We start from the raw sequence: 23,125 nt of genomic DNA on the forward strand, positions 1-23,125 counted from the left end.
ATCAATTTAGAAAGTTTATTTTGCTAAGGTTAAGGACATGCCTATGACACAGCCTCAGGAGGGCCTGATGACATTGCCCAAGGTTGTCAGGGCACAGCTTGGTTTTATACATTTTAGGGAGACATGAGATATCAATCAGTATATGTAAGATGTACATTGGTTCCGTCGGGAAAGGCAGGACAACTTGAAGCAGGGAGGCGGCTTCCAGGTCATAAGTAGATAAAAGACAAATAGATGCGTTATTTTGAGTTTCTGATTAGTCTTTTACTAAATACACAATTTACATGAATAGTCACTTATGCCTTAGTCTGGCTTAGTGAAACAATAGGGAAAGGAAGCAATCAGATAGGCATTTGTCCCACATGAGCAGAGGGATGACTTTGAGTTCTATCTGTCCTTTGTTCGCAAGGAATTTCCTTATGGGCAAATTGTGAGGGAGGTATGTAGCTTTAAAAAAAAATGTAGCTATCTTATTTAGGAGTAGAATGAAAGGTATGTTTGCCCTTGCAGTTCCCAGATTGACTTTTCCTTCTGGCTTAGGGATTTTAGGGTCCCAAGGTTTATTTTTCTTTCACAAAGCCTATAGGATTTATGGGACACCATTAAGTAGCTTTAATGAAATATATGAATCTGAGAGTTGCAGAAGTAGAAGAAATGAGAAGAGGCATAGTGACCATATTTAAGAAAATAACAGCTGAAAACTTCCCATGTCTTCAGAGAGAAATGGATATCTAGATCCATGTTATCTAGGATATCTAGCTCTCAAAGTCTCCAAATATACTTAATCCAAAAAGCTCCTCTCCAAGGCCTATTGGGATTTTACTGTCAAAAGGCAAAGACAAAGAAAGAATTTTAAAAATAGAGAAAAGCCTTAAGTCACATATAAGTAAATCTCCATTAGACTAACAACTGTTTCTCAGCAGAAAACTTGCACACCAGGAGAGGATGGGACAACATATTCAAGGTGCTGAAAAAACCTTTGCTGGCCAAGAATACTACCCCCAGAAAAGCTATTCTTTAAAAATGAAGGCTAAATAAAGTATTTCCTGGACAAGCAAAAACAGGAAATGTATCACCACTAGACAGATCTTACAAGAAATACTTCAGGGAATCCCACATCTGGAAGTGAAAGGATAAGAACACAGATGAGAATATAAAACTCACTGGTAGAATGGATACACTAATGAGCAGAAGAAAGGTATCTAACTTACCACTACAGAAATACATCCAACCAAAAGGATATACAATACTAGAGGAAGAAAGAAAGGATTCACAAAACAATAAGAAAGCAATTAACAAATTGAGAGGAGTAAGACCTCAGCTATCAATAGTAACCTTGAATATAAATGGGTTAAATTCCCCAATTAAAAGATATAAAATGGCTTAAAAAACCATTTGGATTAAAAAAAGGATGGATTTTTTGAAATGAATGGATTAAAAAAACAACACCCAACTATATGCTTCCTATAAAAAACTCACTTCACCTTTAAAAACACACATAGATTTAAAGTTAAGGGGTGGAAAAAGATATTCCATGCAATGGAAAACCAAAAGTGATCAGTAGCTAAACTTACATCAGATAAAATAGACTCTAAGCTAAAAAAAGAGTCCTGTCATTTGTGGCATCATGGAGGAGTTTGAAGAATATTATATGAAGTGAAATAAGCCAGATACAAAATGATAAATATCGCATATTCTCACTCATTTTTGGAAGCTAAATAAGTTGATCTCATAAAAATGGAGAGTAGAATGCTCACTAGAGGCTGGTAAGGGTTGGGGAAAATGGGATATAGGGAGAGGTTGATTAATGGATACAAAATTACAGCTAGATAGGCGGAATAAGTTATATTGTTCTATATCACTGCAGGGTGATAGAGTTCATTGAACACTCTCATATCAGTACTTGATAGAAGTACTGAATTCTATCAAATGAATTCAACACCGTGAGAATGAATTCAACACTCTCATGTCTCATACCATGAGAGTGAATTCAACACTCTCATATCTTCTGTCGGTACTTGATAGAAGAAGTAGAAAGAAAATTAATGAGGATATACTAGACCTGAATAATACAACATTACCAACCAACTTGAGCTAATTGACGTTAACTGAAGATTATATTCAATGATGAAATGATATATATTCTTTTCAAATGACTTGGAACCTTCATCAAGATGGACCCAGTTTTACAAAATGACACTCAAAATGTCTGAAATGATTACTATTTAAATATTATCTAGTTATCGAAGATAGACTTCATTCACCCTAATTCTGCTAAGAGTAATTTTTATGATTCTATCAAATCAATTACACTGATCTTTTCTCTTTCTAATCTTATACTAGCTTGTATGATCCACAAAGTAGCAAAAGTTGTTATTCTGTATTACTCTTTTAAATTGCTACAATATTTCTGAAATAGGTCACCAACGTCAGAGCTATTCGTTAAAAATTAACATGAAGTTCTAGTTCTTGAAACTTTGAATTTTTCTTTTTCTGAGGAAGATTTTTGCAGTTGATTAAATCTGGGTTTTATCGAGGGTGCCCATGTGTCCCAATTCTGGTTCGCATATAGGTATAAGTAAAATGATTATATAATTAATTGTTGGAACTGGAACATTTTTGAGACTGAAAGGTAAGTCATTAATAATTACTTTGTAATTATATTTTCAGCAAACCAAGACATATCATTACCCATCCATAACTGTTCAAGCTGGAGCATGGGTTTTATGTGGTATATAAGCTTATCAATCATATAAATACCACTCAGTTTTTCAAGGGAGTAACTAGCATGATAAGCAAAAAATCCACATCCCTACTACTGTGAACAGAAAATGTGTATATTCACAGAGTGACAATTTTGGGGAGACTAGCAAAAACAGAAGTTCTTGACTCTAGAAGTCAAACTTTTTATTGCTAGGAGGCAGTAGGGCACTCAGATCCTATACACCATTATATTAAATTACTAAAGGCTTTGATTTCAACTCAACTCCTTCCCCACGATTGTAAATAACAAAAAAAGTGCCTATCCTGGCTCCTCACCAATATTTATCTTAGAAGTGGATTAGGAGGGAGTAATTTAAGCATTTTATGACCACAGTATATGAACATTTAGAACTCTCTTCCTTTCTCTACTTCTCATATAGTAAAAGATCATGAAACAATGCCCACAGTGCTATCTCAGGGAAACCCTGAAGGCCTGCCTTGAGTCCTGAATATCTCTTTTGGTCTTTGACATAACAATTATAACTATATTCTTCAAAGACCACAAAGCACTTTCACTAATGTGGTTTCAATCTTCATAAAAAGGAAGAGAGTTGGTAGAGTAATGATTAGTTTTTCATTATTTCACAAATGAAGAAACATTATCAAAGAGGTCAAGGTCACACAGTAAGTGGTAGGTCTTTTTTCTTTAATTTCTGTGTCTCTTCCATATACAAAATAGTTGCTATGGAAACTAGATTTGGTTGTTTTTGAAATATCTTTCAATATAACACTGTTCATCATTTAGCATTAATAAACTCACCCTGAGATTTATAATTAATATCTGAGTCTTCCCTGAGAGCAAAGTATTTGTAATGGCTAAAAACAACAATAACAACAACAAAACCAGGGTAAATCAGGTAGCTTAGTAGAATGTTGAATCATGAAAGAAGTAACAACAAATTGCATGCACTTCACAATTTTTTCTCATACCCTTCTTTACTGGGACTAACACTTGGGAAGGAACCTTAATCTTAGTGCTAAAGCAACAGCTTAGGTTTTAGTATTTCTCTTGCTGGAGAACTCTACTGTTGAAGGAGATAAGTCATTTTAAGCATCTTGCTTATTTTTTCTCTTCTTTCTTATTTGGGTCCTTCTTTTATTTAATAAGCAATTGTAATGTTTAAAAATGTAAGCAATCTCACATATATGCAGCCAAGATATGTTTCTAAAATTATGCCTAAAAAATGTAGGTTATTACAATGATGTAAATAATCCTTGTGCTCTTTATCTTTTGATAAAAAGAAATGCTCAGTTTCCCAGAGTCTTCCTGTTCCCCAATTCTCTCCCAGGGCATCTGGGGGAAGGAAGACTTTCCCACCTCCTTGCCTAGGTGAAGATCAGCTCCTCATCACTTGTGATGCTCCTCTTTCCTTCAGTCTTCCTGACAATGCCTCTCTCTGCCTGGGTGCTGCTCACCTACTGTACTTGTAGCAGAGGGCCTTATCTGGTGGAGCTCATGGTCTGGTTTATTTTGGTTGGCCAGAGCCCAGTGTTGCTCTACTGATCACTTAGCTCACTTTAGCTCTAGTTATCACAACAAACCCCATGTCTCTCTTCTGGCCTCCTGCTCTGATGGTCCATCTCAAGCTGAAGATCTTGATACATTTCACCAATTCAGACCCTGTGAATGGGAATGTTATTTGGCTCTCAAGTCACCTGATTGCTCAGTCATTCCCCTTTGCCCTGCTTGCTCTACCCTGCAAAAAGGAAATGAGATATTTAATTTCTGCCTTGGCCTTGTAGTGATGGAAAGCTGCCTTGAAAAGCTAAACTCCATGCCTAACTTCTGTCTAACCACACTTTGTTGCCACGTTAAACTCTGGTATGGGTCTGCCCTAGATTGGGCAGAAGGGCCTGTGGTTGGGCTATTTACATAGACCCAAATAAGACTCCATAGCTTCCTCTTCTAGAGCATCCCCTCTTTCCTAACACTCATTCCTGGCTAAAGTCAAGCAGAAGACATGAAGACATTTAGATATGAGTATTTTCTACTTCTCCTTCTCCCTTTTTCCCTCCCATTCCACAACCCCCTACTACCAGAGGGATGGACTTTTTCCCCTTCCTCTGTGTCACATTCTCTTCTTATCATCATACAGCAAGCCCTGGCAGTCACAGGCAGAAGGGATAGGTGTTACCATTGTGTCAGAAATCTGAGTCTTCTTCAGCCTTTAAGAAAAAAAAGAAAAGGAATTTAGAAAATTCTCTACCCTAAACAGCTTGGCTTTTAAGCTTATTGTCTTGCTTCAAAGTCCTATTTTAAACATCGGGGAGTAAATAGCAATAATCTTGATCGATATTTCTCTGGCCACCAATCATATGAATGTTTCGGGTCAATTGAGAAGAAGGTCTTAGAAGGAGATAATGTCATAGAGATATAAAGAAGTTTAAACCAGAAGGCTAGCCTTGGATCTGGGTGGAAAATTCCAATGTCATTTATATTTACTTTTATTGCCAAAGCTGAAGGTCATGGTTGTTGAATGAAAACATCTGTTTACTCTCTTTCTGGACACCCATTTCTACCATCACTCTTTCTGAACTTTGTTACATGTTTACTGAATAATTTGTAGCACTCTTATAACTTCAGGGTACCACGTGCAAAGTAAGTGAAAAACTCATGGTTTTTTAGGAGTCAAGCACTCCCAGACATGTGTTATGCATTAGTAAAAACACGCAGTCACGCTTCCTGTGCATGTGCACCATGTTTGCACTGCAGCCAAAAGAAAAGGAAAAAAAATGCTTTTCGTTCTATGTGGACATGTTCCAGGTAGAATGACACCACACATTTCAACTTTATTTCAAAACTTCTGCCTTTAAAAGGAAAATAAAGAAAGAAATGTTTATTCTTAATCTTATGGGATTAAAATCTACCTCGAACACCACACAGTAATTGGAAAGACCCAAAGGACCAAGCCAGGTGCATAAGCCATGGGGTCAGAGTTGCCTGTTTTCTTCTGAATTGTTATGATTAGAATAATTAAACAAGGAAGTTTAATAGCAATTTAATAGCTTGTTGACAAAGTTATACAAGCTAAGTTTAATATCTGTTTGGACACCTCATGTCAAATAATATTCTCAAGAATCTGAAAAGTTCAGTAAAGTTAATTGTAAGGCCAATTTGTAAAAGTCTTCTAGAACTAAAAAGATAATTAAAAAGAATATGTAGAACAAGAAAATAGTAGGAAGCAGAAGTAAAATAATATAATTTTTTTCTCTATCATAAACTTAAACATCTGCTTCCATATGTTTATTCTATAATCTCAGAATTACATAATTAGTTACTCTAAATGTAACATCAATATTACATGATATTCTGTAAAAAATATAATGAATTCTAAGCATTATGTCTTTTGAAAATGAGAACCTGTGCTTTATAAGACTTTTTGGACTTTAAATCTCTGTAGGAAAAATAAAAACATTTCCATTGTACTTTGAGGATTTTTTAAACAAAAAATTACAGCTAGATGGTATTATTTAGTCTAAATTATTTCACACATGATAAAATTAAGGGCCCTCTGAGATTATGCAATTTTTTCAGGTCACATGTAGTTGGTGAAATATCTAGAATGGGAATTCTGTATTTTCTTATATCCCTTGCTAATATGGGGGTCTGATCACAGGTTCCTTAATTCTCTAGGTTATTGCGTATTTGGATTAAATTACTGGGTTAACATGATAGATGAATAATCATGCCTCCTGTGCCTCCACCCAATGAAGCCAACAATTACTACAAAAGCTAGTATCCACAATATAAATTCAAAGGCCATAGTCAGAATAGATTTTTCATCTGTATTGAGAAGCACAGTTTTTGAGGCATACCACATACTCTAGCTTTTGAACCATATGCCAAAGGAAATATGAAAATACTTTGTTATCTCTCCTCTCTATGCCTTTTTCAGATTAAAGAGCTCTACTGACCATCAGGAAATGTTATCATTCCTGAACAGACCATGTAGAATTGTCTTTGCCCATTGGAATTATCCTACTTCTCCTAGACACATCCTGCACCATTACTACTGCTCTTTCTCTATCCAGGCTTCTTTATGAATGCAACATATTGTATAAAAGCGGTCTGGAGAAAGCACAGGGCATCCTGGTATGCTTAGTGTGAACAAAGGAAACGTATTGCAAGTGTGGATGGAGTTAGCCTGTGGGAACAGTTAATGAGGAGGTCTAGTCCCATGTGTTATGTTGCTTAATTAAGAACTGCATATTGCATGGCTAGGTGCTGTGCATGAAAATAGAATTTAGCTTTAGCTACCAAACAAGCTCCCAAGTAGACAGAATGGAAGCTTAAGGCTGTTCCACTCACCCTATCTTTTGACAAATGCAGTATCAGAAACAATTTTATATAAGAAAAAGGAAACAAGAAGAAACTAAAATGGGGCCTATAAAACAATACTGCAATATAAGGGGGGGAAGACAACACCCGAAAACATAAAAGAACATAACTTTTTATAAGAAACAAATCATAATTTTAGAAAGCAATTGGTTCATTGGTCTTCTCCAGGTGTATGAATAGAATAGCCTCTATGAAATGGATGCTTTGACCCATTACGGCTAAAGTAAAGGCTGAGCTCCAAGTGGAATCCCAGTGAATGAACAACTTACACAATAAACTAGGAATATAATAGTAAAAACAAGCAAGCAAACAAGCCAACAAATAAAAACTCAAAATGGAAATAGTAAAGACCAGAATTGACACTCTTGACGTCAAATCAGCAATCTGGACAACTTCTAGATACTTATCAAGAGACCCTAGAACAGGACAACAAAACAAAAAGATACTTCTTGAACCAAAATAATAAAAATCAAAGATATAAAAAATAGATGGTAGTAGTTTTTCATTTAATTAATATTTTGAGTACCCATTAGTCTTTAAGCATATATATTGGGCAAATTTAAACACAAAAAATCAGGATGGCTTAATAAACATCAAAGAAGCCTGAGACCTGACAGAGAGGATAATTTTTTATGGCCAGAAGGAAAATTGCATAGTCAAGGAATACCTTAGCATTAGATAATATAATATCTTAAAAGTTAGAATCATAGAGAAAATGAGAAGTCATCACTTCAAGGAACTTGGAAGTGCCAATCTAATCTAAGGGAGAGGAATGCATAAAGGTCGGGGCATCATCCATAGTGATACCTGGGTTCCAAGTTACAGAATACTAACTAAGAGTGGCTTAAGCCCTTGCTACTCAAAGTGAGGTCCACAGACCAGCAACGTGGGCATCACTGGGGTGTTTATTAGAGATGTTGAACCTCATGGCCCACTGTGCCTACTGAAGCACAATCTACATTCTAACAAGATCCCCAGGTAATTCATGTGCACATTATTCATTCATAATCAGTCGTATACTTCAGGGGCCCCTACCCAAGGGCCACCAATCAGTAACAGTCCATGGACTATTAAGGAACCAGACCACACAGCAGGAGGTGAGTGATGAGCGAGCTAACAAAATGTTATCAGTTTTTACAGCCGCTCCCTAGCGCTTGCTTTACTGCTTGAGTTCTGCTTTCTGACAGATCAGCAGAGCATTAGATTCTCATAGGAGTGAGAACTCTATTGTGGACTGCACATGCAAGAGATCCAGGATGTGCACTCCTTATGACAGTTGAATACCTGATTATCTGTCACTGTCTCCCATCACCCCTAGATGGGACTGTCTAGTTGCAGGAAATCAAGCTTAGGGCTCCCACTCATTCTACATTACGGTGAATTGTAGAATTATTTCATTATATATTACAATGTAATAATAATAGGAAAAAAGTGCACAATAAATGCAATGTGCATGAATTATCCCGAAACTATCCTCCAACCCCAGTTCATAGAAAAATTGTCTTCCACAAAACCAGCCCCGAGTGCCAAAAAGCTTGTGGACCACTAATATACTTGACATGTGAAGAGTATTTAGAATAATAATATTAAATGAGGTAAAATTATATTGCTGTACATTCTACATACAAAGAATATCTTTTTTTGAAAGTTTATACAAGACTTACAAAATACATGATGGCCTAGGAAACAAAGTCTTATTAACTCCAAAGAGCAGAAATTGTAAAGTTATATAGTCTGAAAACTAGATTAAAATTTAATTATACAGATTTAAACAAAGAAATTAACCAACCAACCAGTAAAAAAACACAAACTTTCATTAGCTATTGCTTTACAGAATAAATTAAAAATGAAATTGTGGACTTTTTGGGAAGTCATATACTGAAGTTTATAATATGCTCTCATCTGTACTAACAGGAAAAAGCTTAAGTTATTTAATAAGAAAAATTATAGCCTAGATCTTTAACTTAAGGAAGTAGAAAACCTATGACAGTTTTGTGGAAAAAGACAGTCCAAGATATACATGCGTGGTGGCAAAACTGATTCAACTGAGTTTTCATTTACTTAGCTTGTAAATAATATTCTTCAAGTACCTATGGCATTGTCATTTTTCTTTAAACTGGTTTAGAAGCCAATTATTACTCAGGTAGTGCTGCACTGCGTTCAGCTGCTCCTTGATGGTTAAAATCTTCAATTACCTGAAAAGTTGAGGCTCAGGCTAGAATTGCCCACTCACTAAATAGAGGGCTGCAGAAGGGTTTTACTTGTACTTATAGATGAGCCTCCACTGGGACAACCTGATGATCTTCCCAGAAATGAGGGAGGAGAAGAGTGTCTGATTCTTTGTGTTACTTCCTGAGGGCAAATAATGTGGGTCTGTGGTGACATAGAATCACAATATTTTTCTGCCTTGACTTGGATTCAAAGAAAAAATTTCTTGTGAATTTGTGTGGACAAATAAAAGGCAAATATGTGTGATTTTCTAAACAAAGAGAGAATTTTAAATAAATGTGTGCTTATCATATGTTCACTTATCTTACTGTAGATGTTTGATATTTGTCAGAACAGGTGCCCAGCCCTTGGGATACTTTGCTTAAGAATAAGAGAATATAAAAACTATTAATCACATATGTTCCCACAAGGAAATACAAAAATATTATATGGTTGTGCCAGAAGGTTGAAATAAATAAAGCTAGTGAAAATAAGAGCCAAGTCTTGTTGGGCTTCAGCAGAGAGCAGTGTCTCTATGGGAGATAGTGATCTATATAGAAAATGTAGGTGAGAATTGTTGTTAGGTGTGTTTCAACAAAGCTTGTGAAAAATTCTGATTGGGGTGGGAAAGAGCAAAACAAAGGAGGGTACTTTCTTTTCCTTAGCTAACTCTGTTTAGTCAACTCTTATTACTCAGTTGAAGCAAGAAATAAAAATGCCAAGATGAACTAGAGACACTTACTGCTTTTAAGGAATTTAAACTCTAAAAGTTAATGTAGGGAAAAGTTAGATACATGTTTTATTACAAGCTTAAAAAAGACTTATCACATAGGTCAAACCAGAGTGACTGAGAAATCTCCATGAATAAAGTAATTTAAACTGGGCTTTATATATTTTGACAAGTGGGCATATGAGGGAAAAATAATTCCAACTGGAGAAATACCTTCATAGAAGGGACAATGTATGGGGCATATTTTGGCTGGATGTATAGTGTGTGGAGGCAGTAGGGGAAGTAATTTTAAAAAGCAAGTAGAATCTAATTAATGTATTACTTCAAATGTTATTTGGAACAGTTTGGATTTCAAGGGTGCCCACTTTCACCACTTCTATTCAACTAGTACTGAAAATTCTAGCCAGAACAATTAGACAAGAGAAAGAAATAGAAAGCATCTGAATTGGAAAGAAAGTAACATTGTCTGTGATTTCAAATTACATTATCCTATATATAGAAAACCCTAAAGACACCACCAGAAAACTGTTAAATGAATTCAGTGAAGTTATAGAATATAACATCAACATTAAAAAAGTCATATTTCAATACAAGAACAATGACTGATTCAAAAAGAAATTGAGAAAACAATTCTATTAAAATAGCATCAAAAGGAATAAAATACTTAAGAAATAAATTTAATAATGAAGTGAAAGATCTGTACACTGAAAACTACGAAAAAACTCATGAAACATATTGAGAAAGACAAATAAATGGAAAGATATCCCATGTTCATGGATTGGAAGAATTAATATTGTTAAAATTTTCATATTACACAAAGTGACCTACAGATTCAATGCAATTTTTATTAAAATTCTGATGGCATTTTTAACAGCCTGCATAGAGCTTGCACACTCTGCATCCCTGCAGAGTTAGCACCATGTGGACATTGTCAAGGTTTGTGGGTTTTGCCTTTTGGAGTAGCAGCCTGAACTGCACTTAGGCTCACTTGAACCACAGCTGGGGTGGCTGAGGAGTGCTGTCCTGGAATGAAGGTAGCAGAGACATAGAGTGGCCCTGAATCATGAATCCCAAGGCTTTATGAGAGTTCTGGGACCTCTCTCAAAATTGTTCTGGCCTCAAATTCCTGGCAGTCTGAGTCTATGATGAGAGGAAGAGCCTCAAAGATCTCCAAAATGCCTTTGAGGTCATTCTTCCCTTCTTTTGATGAGTAGCACCTGGCTTTACACTATCCATACATATTTCCTTATAAAAGGGTCACTTGGCTGCACCCTTGGTTTTCTTTCTTTGTTTACATAGCCAGGCTAAAAATTTTCCAAATCTTTACATTCTGCTTTCCTTTTTAATTATAAGTTCTATCTTAAAACTCTTTTTCCTTTTACATTTTACTATAAGCAGTTAAAAGAAGCCACATAGCATCCTGAAAGCTTTTCTGCTTAGAGATTTCTTTTGCCAAATATCCTAGTTCATTGCTCTTAAGTTCTGTCTTTCATAAAGTCATCGGACAGGAATGTAATTCAGTAACAAGGATGGTCTTTCCTCCAGTTTCCAGTAAGATATTACTTATTTCTGTCTAAAATCTCATCAGAGTTGTCTACTCTGTCCATATTTCTACCAATATTCTCTTCCTGTCCACTGAAGTAATCTCCAAGAATACCAAGGCTCTCTCTACAGCTCTCCTCTTCTGGGCTCTCACCAGAATTACCCTTAATGCTGCAGCCACAGCAGTATATGATTTTTCTGGCCTACTCCTCCAAACTCTTCCAGCCTTTGCCCATTACCCAGTTCCAAAGCTGCTTCCACATTTTTAGTATTTTTTTTTTTTTTTTTGAGGCAGAGTCTTGCTCTGTCGCCCAGGCTGGAGTACAGTGGCGTGATCTCGGCTCACTGCAAGCTCCACCTCCTGGGTTCACGCCATTCTCCTGCCTCAGCCTTCTGAGTAGCTGGGACTACAGTCACCTGCCACCACGCCCAGCTAATTTTTTGTATTTTTAATAGAGATGGGGTTTCACTGTGTTAGCCAGGATGGTCTCGATCTCCTGACCTCGTGATCTGCCCACCTCGGCATCCCAAAGTTCTGGGATTATAGACATAAGCCACCATAACTGGCCTCATTTTTAGATTTTTTTTATAGCAACAACCCCACATCTTGGTACCAATTGCTGTCTTAGCCTGTCTGTGCTGTTCTAATATCTGATAATGGGTAATTTATAAAGAACAGAAAATTATCAAGACCAAAGCACCAGCAGGTTTGGTTGTCTGGTGAAGGCTACATCCCTTGGAGGGGAGGAAGACTGTGTACTCACATGGAAAAAGGTGGAAGGGCAAGCAAATGCTGTGTGCAGTGTCTTTTGTAAGGGTGTTAATTCCATACATGAGAGAGGCACCCTCATGACCTAAGCACCTCTTACAGGTTTTATCTCTTATTACTACCACATTCACAACATGCGAATTTTGGAGGGGACACATTTAAGCCATAATCATTCTATATGTTCCAAAAGCTAGAGGAATGACTGAACATGTTACATAGAAACATACAAATATAACAAAGGTCCTAACTGAATAGCCAAAACAATTTTGAAAAAGAACAAAGTTGGAGAACTCACACATCTCTATTTTAAAATATATCATAAAGCTATAATAATTAAAACAGTGTGGTATTGGCATTAAAGCCATACATATAGACCAATGAAATATAGAGCTCAGAAATAAACCCTTACAAATATGGCCAAATGATCTTTGACAAGAGTGTTAAGACCACTCAATGGGTAAAGAAGAGTCTCTTCAATGAATGGTATTGGGAAAACCGGATATCCACAGGCAAAAAATGAAGTTGGACCCTTATCTTACACTACATACAAAAATTAACTTAAAATGGGTTAAAGACTTAAATATAATACTCAAAACTATAAAACTCCTAGAAGGAAACGTAGGAGAAAATCTTCATGACATTAGAGTTGGCAATTACTTATTGAATATGACAGCAAAAACACAGGCAGCAAAAGCTAAAATAGACAAATGGGACTACATCAAACTTAAAAACTTTTGTTTATCGAAGTACACTGTCAACAGAGTGAAAGGGCAATCTACAGAATGGAAGAAAATATTTGCAAATAATATATCTGGTAAGTGGTATATCTAGAATGTATAAAGAACTTCTACAACTCATTATCAAAAAAACAAATAACCCAATTTAAAAATGAACAAAGAAATCGAATAGACATTTATCCAGAGATGTTATACAAATGGCCATCAAGGATATGAAAAAATTCTCAACTTCACTAATCATCAGAGAAATGCAAGCCAAAACCACAATGAAGCATCACCTCACACCCATTAGGATGGCCACTATATTAAAAAAAAAAAAAAACAAGTATTGGCAAAGATATGGCTAAATTGGGACACCATGCACTGTTGGTTGGGTTTTTAAATAGTGCAACCACTATGGCAGTATGTATAACAGTATGGTGGTTCCTCCAAAATTTAACAATTAAATTACTATATCATTCAGCAATTCCACTTCTGGGTACATATTAAAAAGATTTAAAATTAAGGTCTTGAAGAGATATTTGCATACCCATATTCATAGCTGTACTATTCACACTAGCCAAGAGGTGAAAGCAACCTAAATGTCTAACAGATGAATGGTTAAAGAAAATGTGATAGAGTTGAATATTATACAGCTATAAAATGAAATGAAAATTAACCACGTGCTACAACATGGATGAACCTTGGGAATATAATATTAAGCGAAATAATCACAAAAGAACAAATACTGTATGATTCCCCTTATAAGAGGTATCTAAAGTAGTCAAATTCATAGAAATGAAAAGTAGAATGGTGGTTTCTGGTGGGGTAGGAGGAGGAGACAAAGAGGAGTTATTGTTTAATGGAAGTACTGTTTCAGTTCTGCAAGATAAAAAAGTTTCAGAGATCTATTTCACAATAATTTAAGTATGTTTAACATTACTAAACATTATACTTAAAAATTGTTAAGATGGTAAATTTTATGACAGGCGTTTTTTGTGACAATAATAGATTCAAGTTGAACTTTTAGACATCTGGAATAAAAAATACAGTGGATGAGATTAACAGCAAATTGTATGTCACAGAAAAAAAGATAAAAGCCATTCAGAATTAAATACAGGGAAAAAACTGAAAAAAGCATCAGTGCGAGGTGAGACAACTTCAGGAGGCCTAATATATGTGTAATTGTAGCCCTAGGAAGAAAAGGAAAACATTTTTAGAAGATAATGGTTAACATTTTTCATATTTCATGAAAATCATAAACTTACAACTTCAGGAAGCTCAATAAGCCCCAGGTACAAACAATAAGGAGAAAACTATGTCAAGGCACATCATAGTCATAACCAATGTTAATGAGAAAAATTTTTAAAATATTGGTGATGCTTAGCAGACACAAGTAAGCAAGACAATAGATTTATTACTGGAAATAGCACAAGAGAGAACAGAGTAGAAAGCATTGAAAGAAAATACCTTTCAATCTAAAATTCTATACCCAGTGAATATCTTTCCAAAATGAAGGTGAAATAAAGACTATTTTCAGCATGTAAAGGCTGAAAGAAGTAATCACCGTCAGATTCACAGTACAAAAAATACTAAAGAAAATCCTTCAGGCAGAAGGAAAACTGACAGTGGCAGCAATAAGATCAGTAGTTGTGTTGGGATGGGGAAGACAGGGAGGGGCAGGAATAGGAATCACAGTGTGGCACAAAGATCTTTGTGGCATAATGGACATGTTCATTACCTTGATTGTGAATATATATAAACAGTTATCAAATTGTACACTTTATATCTGTGCAGTATATTGTATGTCAGTTACGAGTCAAAGAAGATTTTTTCTTATTTTTTACTTTTTAAAAAAATTTTACTTTAACTTCTAGGATACATATACAGAACGTGCAGGTTTCTTACACAGGTATACATGTACCATGGTGGTTTGCTCCATCTATCAACCCGTCATCTAGGTTTTAAGCCCTATATGCATTAGGTATTTGTCCTAATGCTCTCCTTCCCCTTGTCCCCACACCCCTGACAGGCCTTGGTGTGTGATATTCCCCTCCCTGTGTCCATGTGTTCTCATTGTTCAGCTCCCACTTATGAGTGAGAACATGCAATATTTGATTTTCTGTTCCTGTGTTAGTTTGCTGAGAATGATAGCTTCCAGTTTCATCCATGTCCCTGCAAAGGACATGAACTCATTCTTTTTTTATGGCTGCATAGTATTCCCTGATGTATATGTGCCACATCTTCTTTATCCAGTCTATCATTGATGGGCATTTGGTTTGGTTCCAAGCCTGCTATTGTAAATAGTGCTGCAATAAACGTACGTGTTCATGTGTCTTTATAGCAGAATGATTTATAATACTTTGCCAAAAGCAATGGCAACAAAAGCCAAAATTGACAAATGGGATCTAAAGAAACTAAAGAGCTTCTGCACAGCAAAAGAAACTACCATCAGAGTGAACAGGCAATCTACAGAATGGGAGAAAATTTTTGCAATCTATCCATCTGACAAAGGGCTAATATCCAGAATCTACAAGGAACTTAAACAAATTTACAAGAAAAAATCAAACAACCCCATCAAAAAGTGGGTGAAGGATATGAACAGGCACTTCTCAAAAGAAGACATTTATGCAGCCAAAAAACATATGAAGAAAAGCTCATCATCACTGGTCATTAGAGAAATGCAAATCAAAACCACAATGGGATACCATCTCATGCCAGTCAGAGTGGCGATTATTAAAAAGTCAGAAAACAATAGATGCTGGCGAGGCTGTGGAGAAATAGGAAAGCTTTTATAATGTTGGTGGGAGTGTAAATTAGTCCAATTATTGTGGAAGACAGTGTGGTGATTCATCAAGCATCTAGAACCAAAGAAGATTTTAAAAGGCCTACATATACCTTATGAGATTGATCAGGGTAATTTTTTGTTATTACTCTTCTAACAGGCACCAGGCTGGCTTTACCTTCCTGTGTTCAAAAACCAAAAAAACAAAAAAACAAAAAAAAAACCCTTATGGAAAGTCTTTGATTAAAGGCAATGAATCATAAAGTTATCTTTTAAAAACATTGTAAACTTAAAAGGCAAAATGGTTTGATATGTTACAGAAAAAACGATAGAAACTATTCATATGGTTTCTATCCAGTTTCTATTCCAAAAGTCCAAAAGTTCAATTTGAATCTATTTTCTTATGGTGGCAACAAACACCTATCATAAAATTTACCACCCTAGCATTTTAAGTGTAATGTTCAGTAGTACTAAACATACTTAAATTATTGTGAAATAGATCTCTGGAACTTTTTTATCTTGCAGGACTGAAACAATATTTTCATTAAACAAAGATAGAAACTACTTCCTTTACAAGGGAAAGAAAATTATTTATTTTTCCATGTGAGTTAACATTAAAAATTTCTCTGGAAGGCAAAGAACTCTGATTCATGCAGTGACTGATATTCCCTTTCTAAGAGCAGCTCTTAACAAAGGAGGAGAGTGAAGGAGTGGAAAACTAAACAGAGGGTGACTATATGTCCTAATTTTTCTGGGTCCCCGATGGCTTGTGTCCCCTGTCTTACCATAGTTATCAATAACGAAGCCATTCATTCTTAAAATTGTACTTGTTGGAGGAGCAGAGCAAGATGGCCAAATAAAAGCCTCCACTGATCACCACCCCTGCCCCCACCAAGAGCACCAAATTTAACAACTATTTACGCAAAAGCACCTTCGTAAGAACCAAAAATCGGGAGAGCAATCACGGTACCAGGCTTTAGCTTCATACAGCTGAAAGAGGCACTGAAAAGGGTAGAAAAGATAGTCATGGGTCACTGATGCTACCCCTCCATCATACCCCGGTAGCAGCTTTGTGGTGCAGACAATCTGTGTGCTTGGGGGAGGGAGAGTGCAGTGATAGTGGGACTTTGAAGTGAACTCAGTGCTGCCCTGTCATAGCAGAAAGCAAAATTGGGCTGAACTCAGCTAATTCCCACCCACTGAGGGAGCATTTAGACCAGCTCTAGCCAGAGAGGAACTGTCCATCCCAGTTGACTAAACTTAAGTTTCAGCAAGCCTTGATGTCACAGGCTGAAGTATTCTTGCTGGCTTAGAGCTTTACGGCCTTGAATGAACATAGTTAGTAGCTAGGTAGTGGTTACAGTGGTTGTGGCCACAGGGATGCCTGTGTCACCCTATCCTCAGATTCAGATGACTCAGCACAAAGAAAAAAATTCCACTTGTTTGGAAGAAAATAAAGGAAGAGAACATAAGTCTCTGCCTGGTAATCCAGAGAATTATTCTTGATTTTATCCAAGACCACCAAGGTGAGTCTGCAAGAACAAAAACCCCCTCTGTGAGTCTGCAAGAACCACAGCATAACTGAACTTGGAGATCCCTAAAGCAGATATGGCTTAGATCACAACACTCAAGTCCCTTTCATATCTGGAAAGCATTCTCAAGAAGGACAGTGCAAACAAGCTCAGACTCAAGACTACAATAAATAGCTAACTCTTTAATGCACAGACACTTATGAACATTCACAAGCATGAAGGCCATCCGGGAAAACATGATGCCACCAAATGAACTACTTAAGACACTAGAAACCAATCCTGGAGAAATAGAGTTATGTGATCTTTCAGGAAGAGAATTCAAAATAGCTGTTTTGAGGAAATTCAAAGAAATTCAAGGTAACACAGAGAAGGAATTCAGAATTTTAACGGATAAATTTAACAAAGAGATTGAAATAATTAGAATCAAGCAGAAATTCTCGATTTGAAAAATGTAATTGACATGCTGAAGAATGCATCTTAGTCTCTTAATAGCAGAATTGATCAAGCAGAAGAAAGAATTAGTGAGACTGAAGACAGACTATTTGAAAATACACAGAGAAGACAAAAAGAAAAAAGAAAAAAACTGAAAAAGCATGCTTGCAAGATCTAGAAAAAAGCCTCAGAGGGACAAACCTTAAGAGTTAGTGACCTAAAGAGGAGGCAGAGAAAGTGATAGGAGTAGAAAGTTTATTGAAAAGAATAATATAAGAGAACTTAAAGTTGGTCTTTTGAAAAGATAAACAAATTTGACAAATGTTTATCCAAGTCACTAAGAAAAAAAGAGGGAAGATCCAGATAAATAAAATCAGAAATGAAAAAGGAGACATTATAACTGACACTTCAGAAATTCAAAGGATCATTAGTGGCTACTATGAGTAGCTGTATGCCAAAAACTGGAAAATCTAGAAGAAATGAATAAATTCCTAGACACATACAACCTACCAAGATTGAACTATGAAAAAATATAAAACCTGAACAGACCAATAAGAAGTAATGAGATCAAAGCCATAATAAAAGATTTCCCAGCAAAGAAAAGCCCAGGATCTTATGGTTTCACTGGTGAATTCCATCAAACTTTTGAAGAACTAATACCCATCCTACTCAAACTGTTCTAAATATAGAGGAGGAATATTTCCAAACTCATTGTACAAGGCCAGTAATACTTTATACCGAAAACAGGCAAAGACACATTGAAAAAAGAAAACTACAGGCCAATATCTCTGATGAATACGGATGCAAAAATTATCACCAAAATACTAGCAAACAGAATTCAGAAACACATTAACAAGGTCATTCATCATGATCAAGTGAGATTTGTCCCATAGCTTCAAGGATGGTTCAACATATGCAAATCAATCAATGTGATACATCATATCAACAGAATGAAGGACAAAAATCATATGATCGTTTCCATGGAAGCTGAAAAAGCATTGATAAAATTCAATATTGCATCATGAGATGTTGAAAATCCTGAAAAAACTGGGCATAGAAGGAATGTACCTCAACATAATAAAAGCTATATACGACAGACCCATAGCTAGTATCCTACTGAATGGAGAAAAGCTGAAAGCCTTTCCTCTAAGGTCAGGAACATGATAAAGCTGCCCATTTTTACCACCATTATTCAACATAGTACTGAAATCCTAGCTAGAGTAATCAGACAAAAGAAAGAAAGAAAGGGCATCAAATTGAAAGGAAGAATTCAAATTTATCCTTGTTTGCCCATAATATGATCTTATATTTGGAAAAGCCTAAAGGCTCCAACAAAGAAACTATTAGAACTGATAAACAAATTCAGTAAAGTTTCAGGATACAAAATAAACATACAAAATCAGTAGCATTTCTATACACCAACAGCAAACAATCTGAAACAGAAATCAAGAAAGTAATCTTATTTACAAAAGCAACAAATAAAATAAAATAAAATACCAAGGAATTAACCAAAGAAGTGAAAGATCTCTACAATGAAAAGTATAAAACACTGATGCAAGAAATTGAAGATGCTACAAAAAAATGAAAAGACATTTCATGTTCATGCATTGGAAGAATCAATATTGTTAAAATGTTCATACTACCCAAAGCAGTCTACAGATTCAGTGCAATCCCTATCAAAATACCAGACATTCTTCACAGAAATGGAAAAAACAATCCTGAAATTTATATTGAACCACAGAAGCCCCAGAATAGCCAAAGCTATCCTAAGCTAAAGAAGTGAAGGAATCACATTACCTGACTTTAAATTATAGCACAGAGCTATAATAAGCAAAACAGCATGGTACTGCCATAAAAACAAACAAAAAGACCAATGGAACAGCATAGAGAACTCAGAAACAAATTCATACATCTAGAGTGAACTAATTTTTGATGAAGCCACCAATATCATACATTGGGGAAAGGAGAGTTTCTTCAATAAATAGTTCTGGGAAAAATGGATATCCATATGCAAAAGAATAAAGCTTGACCCCTATCTCTGACTATATACAAAAATAAAATCAAAATGTATTAAATACGTAAATCTAAGGCCTCAAATTATGGAATTACTAAATGAAAACTTTCAGGAAAGTCTCCAAGACGTTGGAGTGGGCAAAGATTTCTTGAGTAATACCCCACAAGCACAGGCAACCAAAGCAAAAACAGACAAATGGGAACACAAAAGGTAAAAAGCTTCTGCACAGCAAAAGAAACAATCAACAAAATGAAGAGTCAATCCACAGAGTGAGAGAAAATATTTGCAATCTACCCATCTGACAAGAGATTAATAACCAGAATAAATGAGGAGCTCAAACAATTCTATAGGAAAAAATTTAATAATCCAATTAAAACATGGGCAAAAGGTCTGAGTAGACATATCTCAAAAGAAGACATACAGATGGCAATCAGCTATATGAAAAGGTGCTTAACATCATTCATCATAAGATAAATGCAAATCAAAACCTCAAGGAGATGCCCTCTCCAGTTAAAATGGCTTTATTCAAAGGCAGGAAATAACAAATTCTAGCAAGGATGTGAAGAAAAGGGAACCCTTGTAAACTGTTAGTGGGGATGTAAATTAGTACAACTCCTAAGCAGAACAGTTTGTCGGTTCCTAAACAAACTAAAAATAGAGTTGCCATATGATCCAGCAGTCTCACTGTTGTGTATACACCCAAAATAAAAGAAATCAGGATATCAAAGAGATATGTGCATTCCCATGTTTGTTGTGGTACTCTTCACAGTGGCCAAGATTTGGAAGCAACCCAAGTGTCCATCAACAAATGAATGGATAAAGAAAATGTGAGGCTGGGTGTGGTGGCTCATGCCTTTTATCTTACCACTTTGGGAGGCAAAGGCAGGAGAACTGCTTGAGTCCAGGAGTTTGAGACCAATGTGGGCAAGATGGCAAGGCCCCATCTCTACATTTTTGTTTTTGTTTTTGTTGTTTAATTACCCAGGCATGGTGGCTCACATCTCTAGACCCAGCTACTCAGGATGCTGAGGCAGTAGGATCCCTTGAGCCTGGGAGTTCAAGGTGGCAGTGAGCCATGATCACACCACTGTACTCCAGCCTGGGTGACAAAGCAAGACCCCATCTTTTAAGAAAAAAAAAAGAAAAGAAAGAAACTGTGGTACATATACACAATGGGGTACTGTTCAGCCATAAAAAATGAGATCCTGTCATTTGCAACAACACTGATGGAACTGGACATCATTATGTAAAGTGAAATAAGCCAGTCACCGAAAGACCCAAACTTCACATGTTTTCACTTATTTGTGGGAGCTAAAAATTAAAACAATTGAATTCATGGAGATAGAGTAGAAAGATGGCTACCAGATGCTGAGAAGGGTAATGGGCGGATCAGGGGAAGTGGGGATGGTAGGTACCAAAATATTGTTGGAATGAATAACAAATTGACAGCACAACAGGGTGACTATAGTCAATAATAATTTAATTGCTCATTTAAAAATAACTGAAAGGGTATAATTAGATTATTCATAACATAAAGGATAAATGGTTGAGATGATGGATACTCCATTTATCCTGATGAGATTATTACACATTGCATGCCTATATCAAAAATTTTCACATACCCCATAAATATATATACCTACTATATACCGCCAAAAAATAAAAATTAAAAAAATTGTACTGGTCGGATAATGAGCTATATAGCCATTTACCAATGTTGGCTAATACACAGGAGATGGATGACTCCAGAGATGAAGAAAAGGGGCAGAAGATGAACATGGGGGATCACAAAGTGAAGGCCTTCTGTGTCTCAGAGTTGCCTAAACACCCTGCTTCCATATCAACCCTTCTATGAAAAGAACATGAGTCATTGGTGGGAATGGAGGACATGAATTGTTGGTGGGAGTGGTACTAATACCCACTATGTTTCATGACATGTGGAGAAAGCCAGTGTATAGTGAAGTAAAAAGAAGCAAACTTACACAAAGAAGTAGATATAACAGTAAAGAGGAACCCTGTGCTGAAGCCAAGTTCTGTTCTGGCATTGCCGAGGCCTAAGTGCCTTCCTATGCTGTTCTTGGTTTGGTTGTTCACACTTCCTTGTATTCCATGACTTAACACATTCTCAATTTGTCATGGATGTCTGTTGTTACTGAATCCAGAGCATTCGATTCTTCCTTCTTTTTATAATAAATCCTCTTCATTTGGGAATTATCCTTCCCTTACTCCATGTTTTTCCAATGAACCTGCCACTGCAACAACCCAGCCATGGAGATAAGCACAAGACCCAACTCTGTTCAATCACAGCATCACATTGTTCCATTCAAAGATATTGGCTCTGGGATGAACACATGGCCCCAGCCATGCTTGTTTGAGCTCTTCTTTGGGATTTTTAAGAAAAGATTCTAGGAGAGGGAAGTTTTCTTTCTTCTGGATCTGCTATACTGGGATGACCTGAGTCTTGAGCCATCTGTATTCTATTTGTCCACTGCACAAGGAAAGCAGATTGCAGTAGGAGGGGATGGCAACCACACAGGGAGAGCTGCTCAACAAAGCTTGAGGGTGAATTTCTCTCATCTGCAATTGGGCAGACCTCACCATCTCCATAGTTTATCATGGAAATGCTAGAAGATATTTACTATTATATTTTATACAGGCAAAAACTGAAGCTGAGTGATTTGAAGTAACTGTTCCAAAGGTTAAACAGTTAGTAGAATAACAGAAACTTAAACTCCTCATGACTTCTCTGCAGACTCTTAGGAAAAATATTGCTTGCCTCTAACCTTAAGGGTTCAGACAGTGTAAGAATCCACTGATGCCACTGAGGACCTGATTATCCTTCCTGATTCACCTGCTTTGCACTATTACTCCAGCAAGGGGATGGGGCAGGGGATTTTACCCATTTTATAAATAGGAAATTGAGCATTGCCTATAAGGAAGAAGATGACTCTGACCTTTCCTCTTTCCTTCTTGGTACATCCAAACATGTCCATTGCCCTGCCCTACCCATCTACCCACTCCATGTGCATGGAAGCATCAGAGTTTCTCATAATGGAAACTCTACTCTGAGCTGGTGAGACTTCAGGCAGAGACTATCCTCTGGGCCATCACCGATGAAAGGATTTTAGGAGGATCAGGGAGGTGTTGAAAGCTCTTACTGGAAGGTGAAATGGGAATTGCATTGAGCTGCAGTGGCAGCCTTCAACTCTAGTTTTTCTAGGCCTTTGACAGGGAACCTCCAAGATCTCAAGTGAGGGGGCTCTGGGCACTAGGTTACCTCATGGGCCTGACAGCC

The 23,125-nt window shown here is 36.4% G+C and overlaps 1 long non-coding RNA gene across 3 annotated transcripts in view; it reads right to left on the reverse strand.

Annotated features, from left to right (window-relative positions):
• LOC102723576 (uncharacterized) overlaps positions 1–23,125 on the reverse strand; it is a 26,889-nt gene continuing 3,764 nt past the window's right edge. The window contains exons 4-5 of one of the 3 annotated variants that reach the window (XR_939020.3): positions 4,801–4,929; positions 1–201 (exon numbers count right to left, since the gene is read on the reverse strand). This is a non-coding gene — a long non-coding RNA (uncharacterized LOC102723576). Of the gene's footprint in view, positions 4,930–23,125 lie in introns of all 3 variants that reach the window. The other 2 variants (XR_427569.4, XR_001741777.2) reach the window with 2 other exon arrangements.

Source organism: Homo sapiens, chromosome 4 (genome assembly GCF_000001405.40).
Source record: "Homo sapiens chromosome 4, GRCh38.p14 Primary Assembly".
Taxonomy (NCBI): Eukaryota; Metazoa; Chordata; class Mammalia; order Primates; family Hominidae; genus Homo; species Homo sapiens.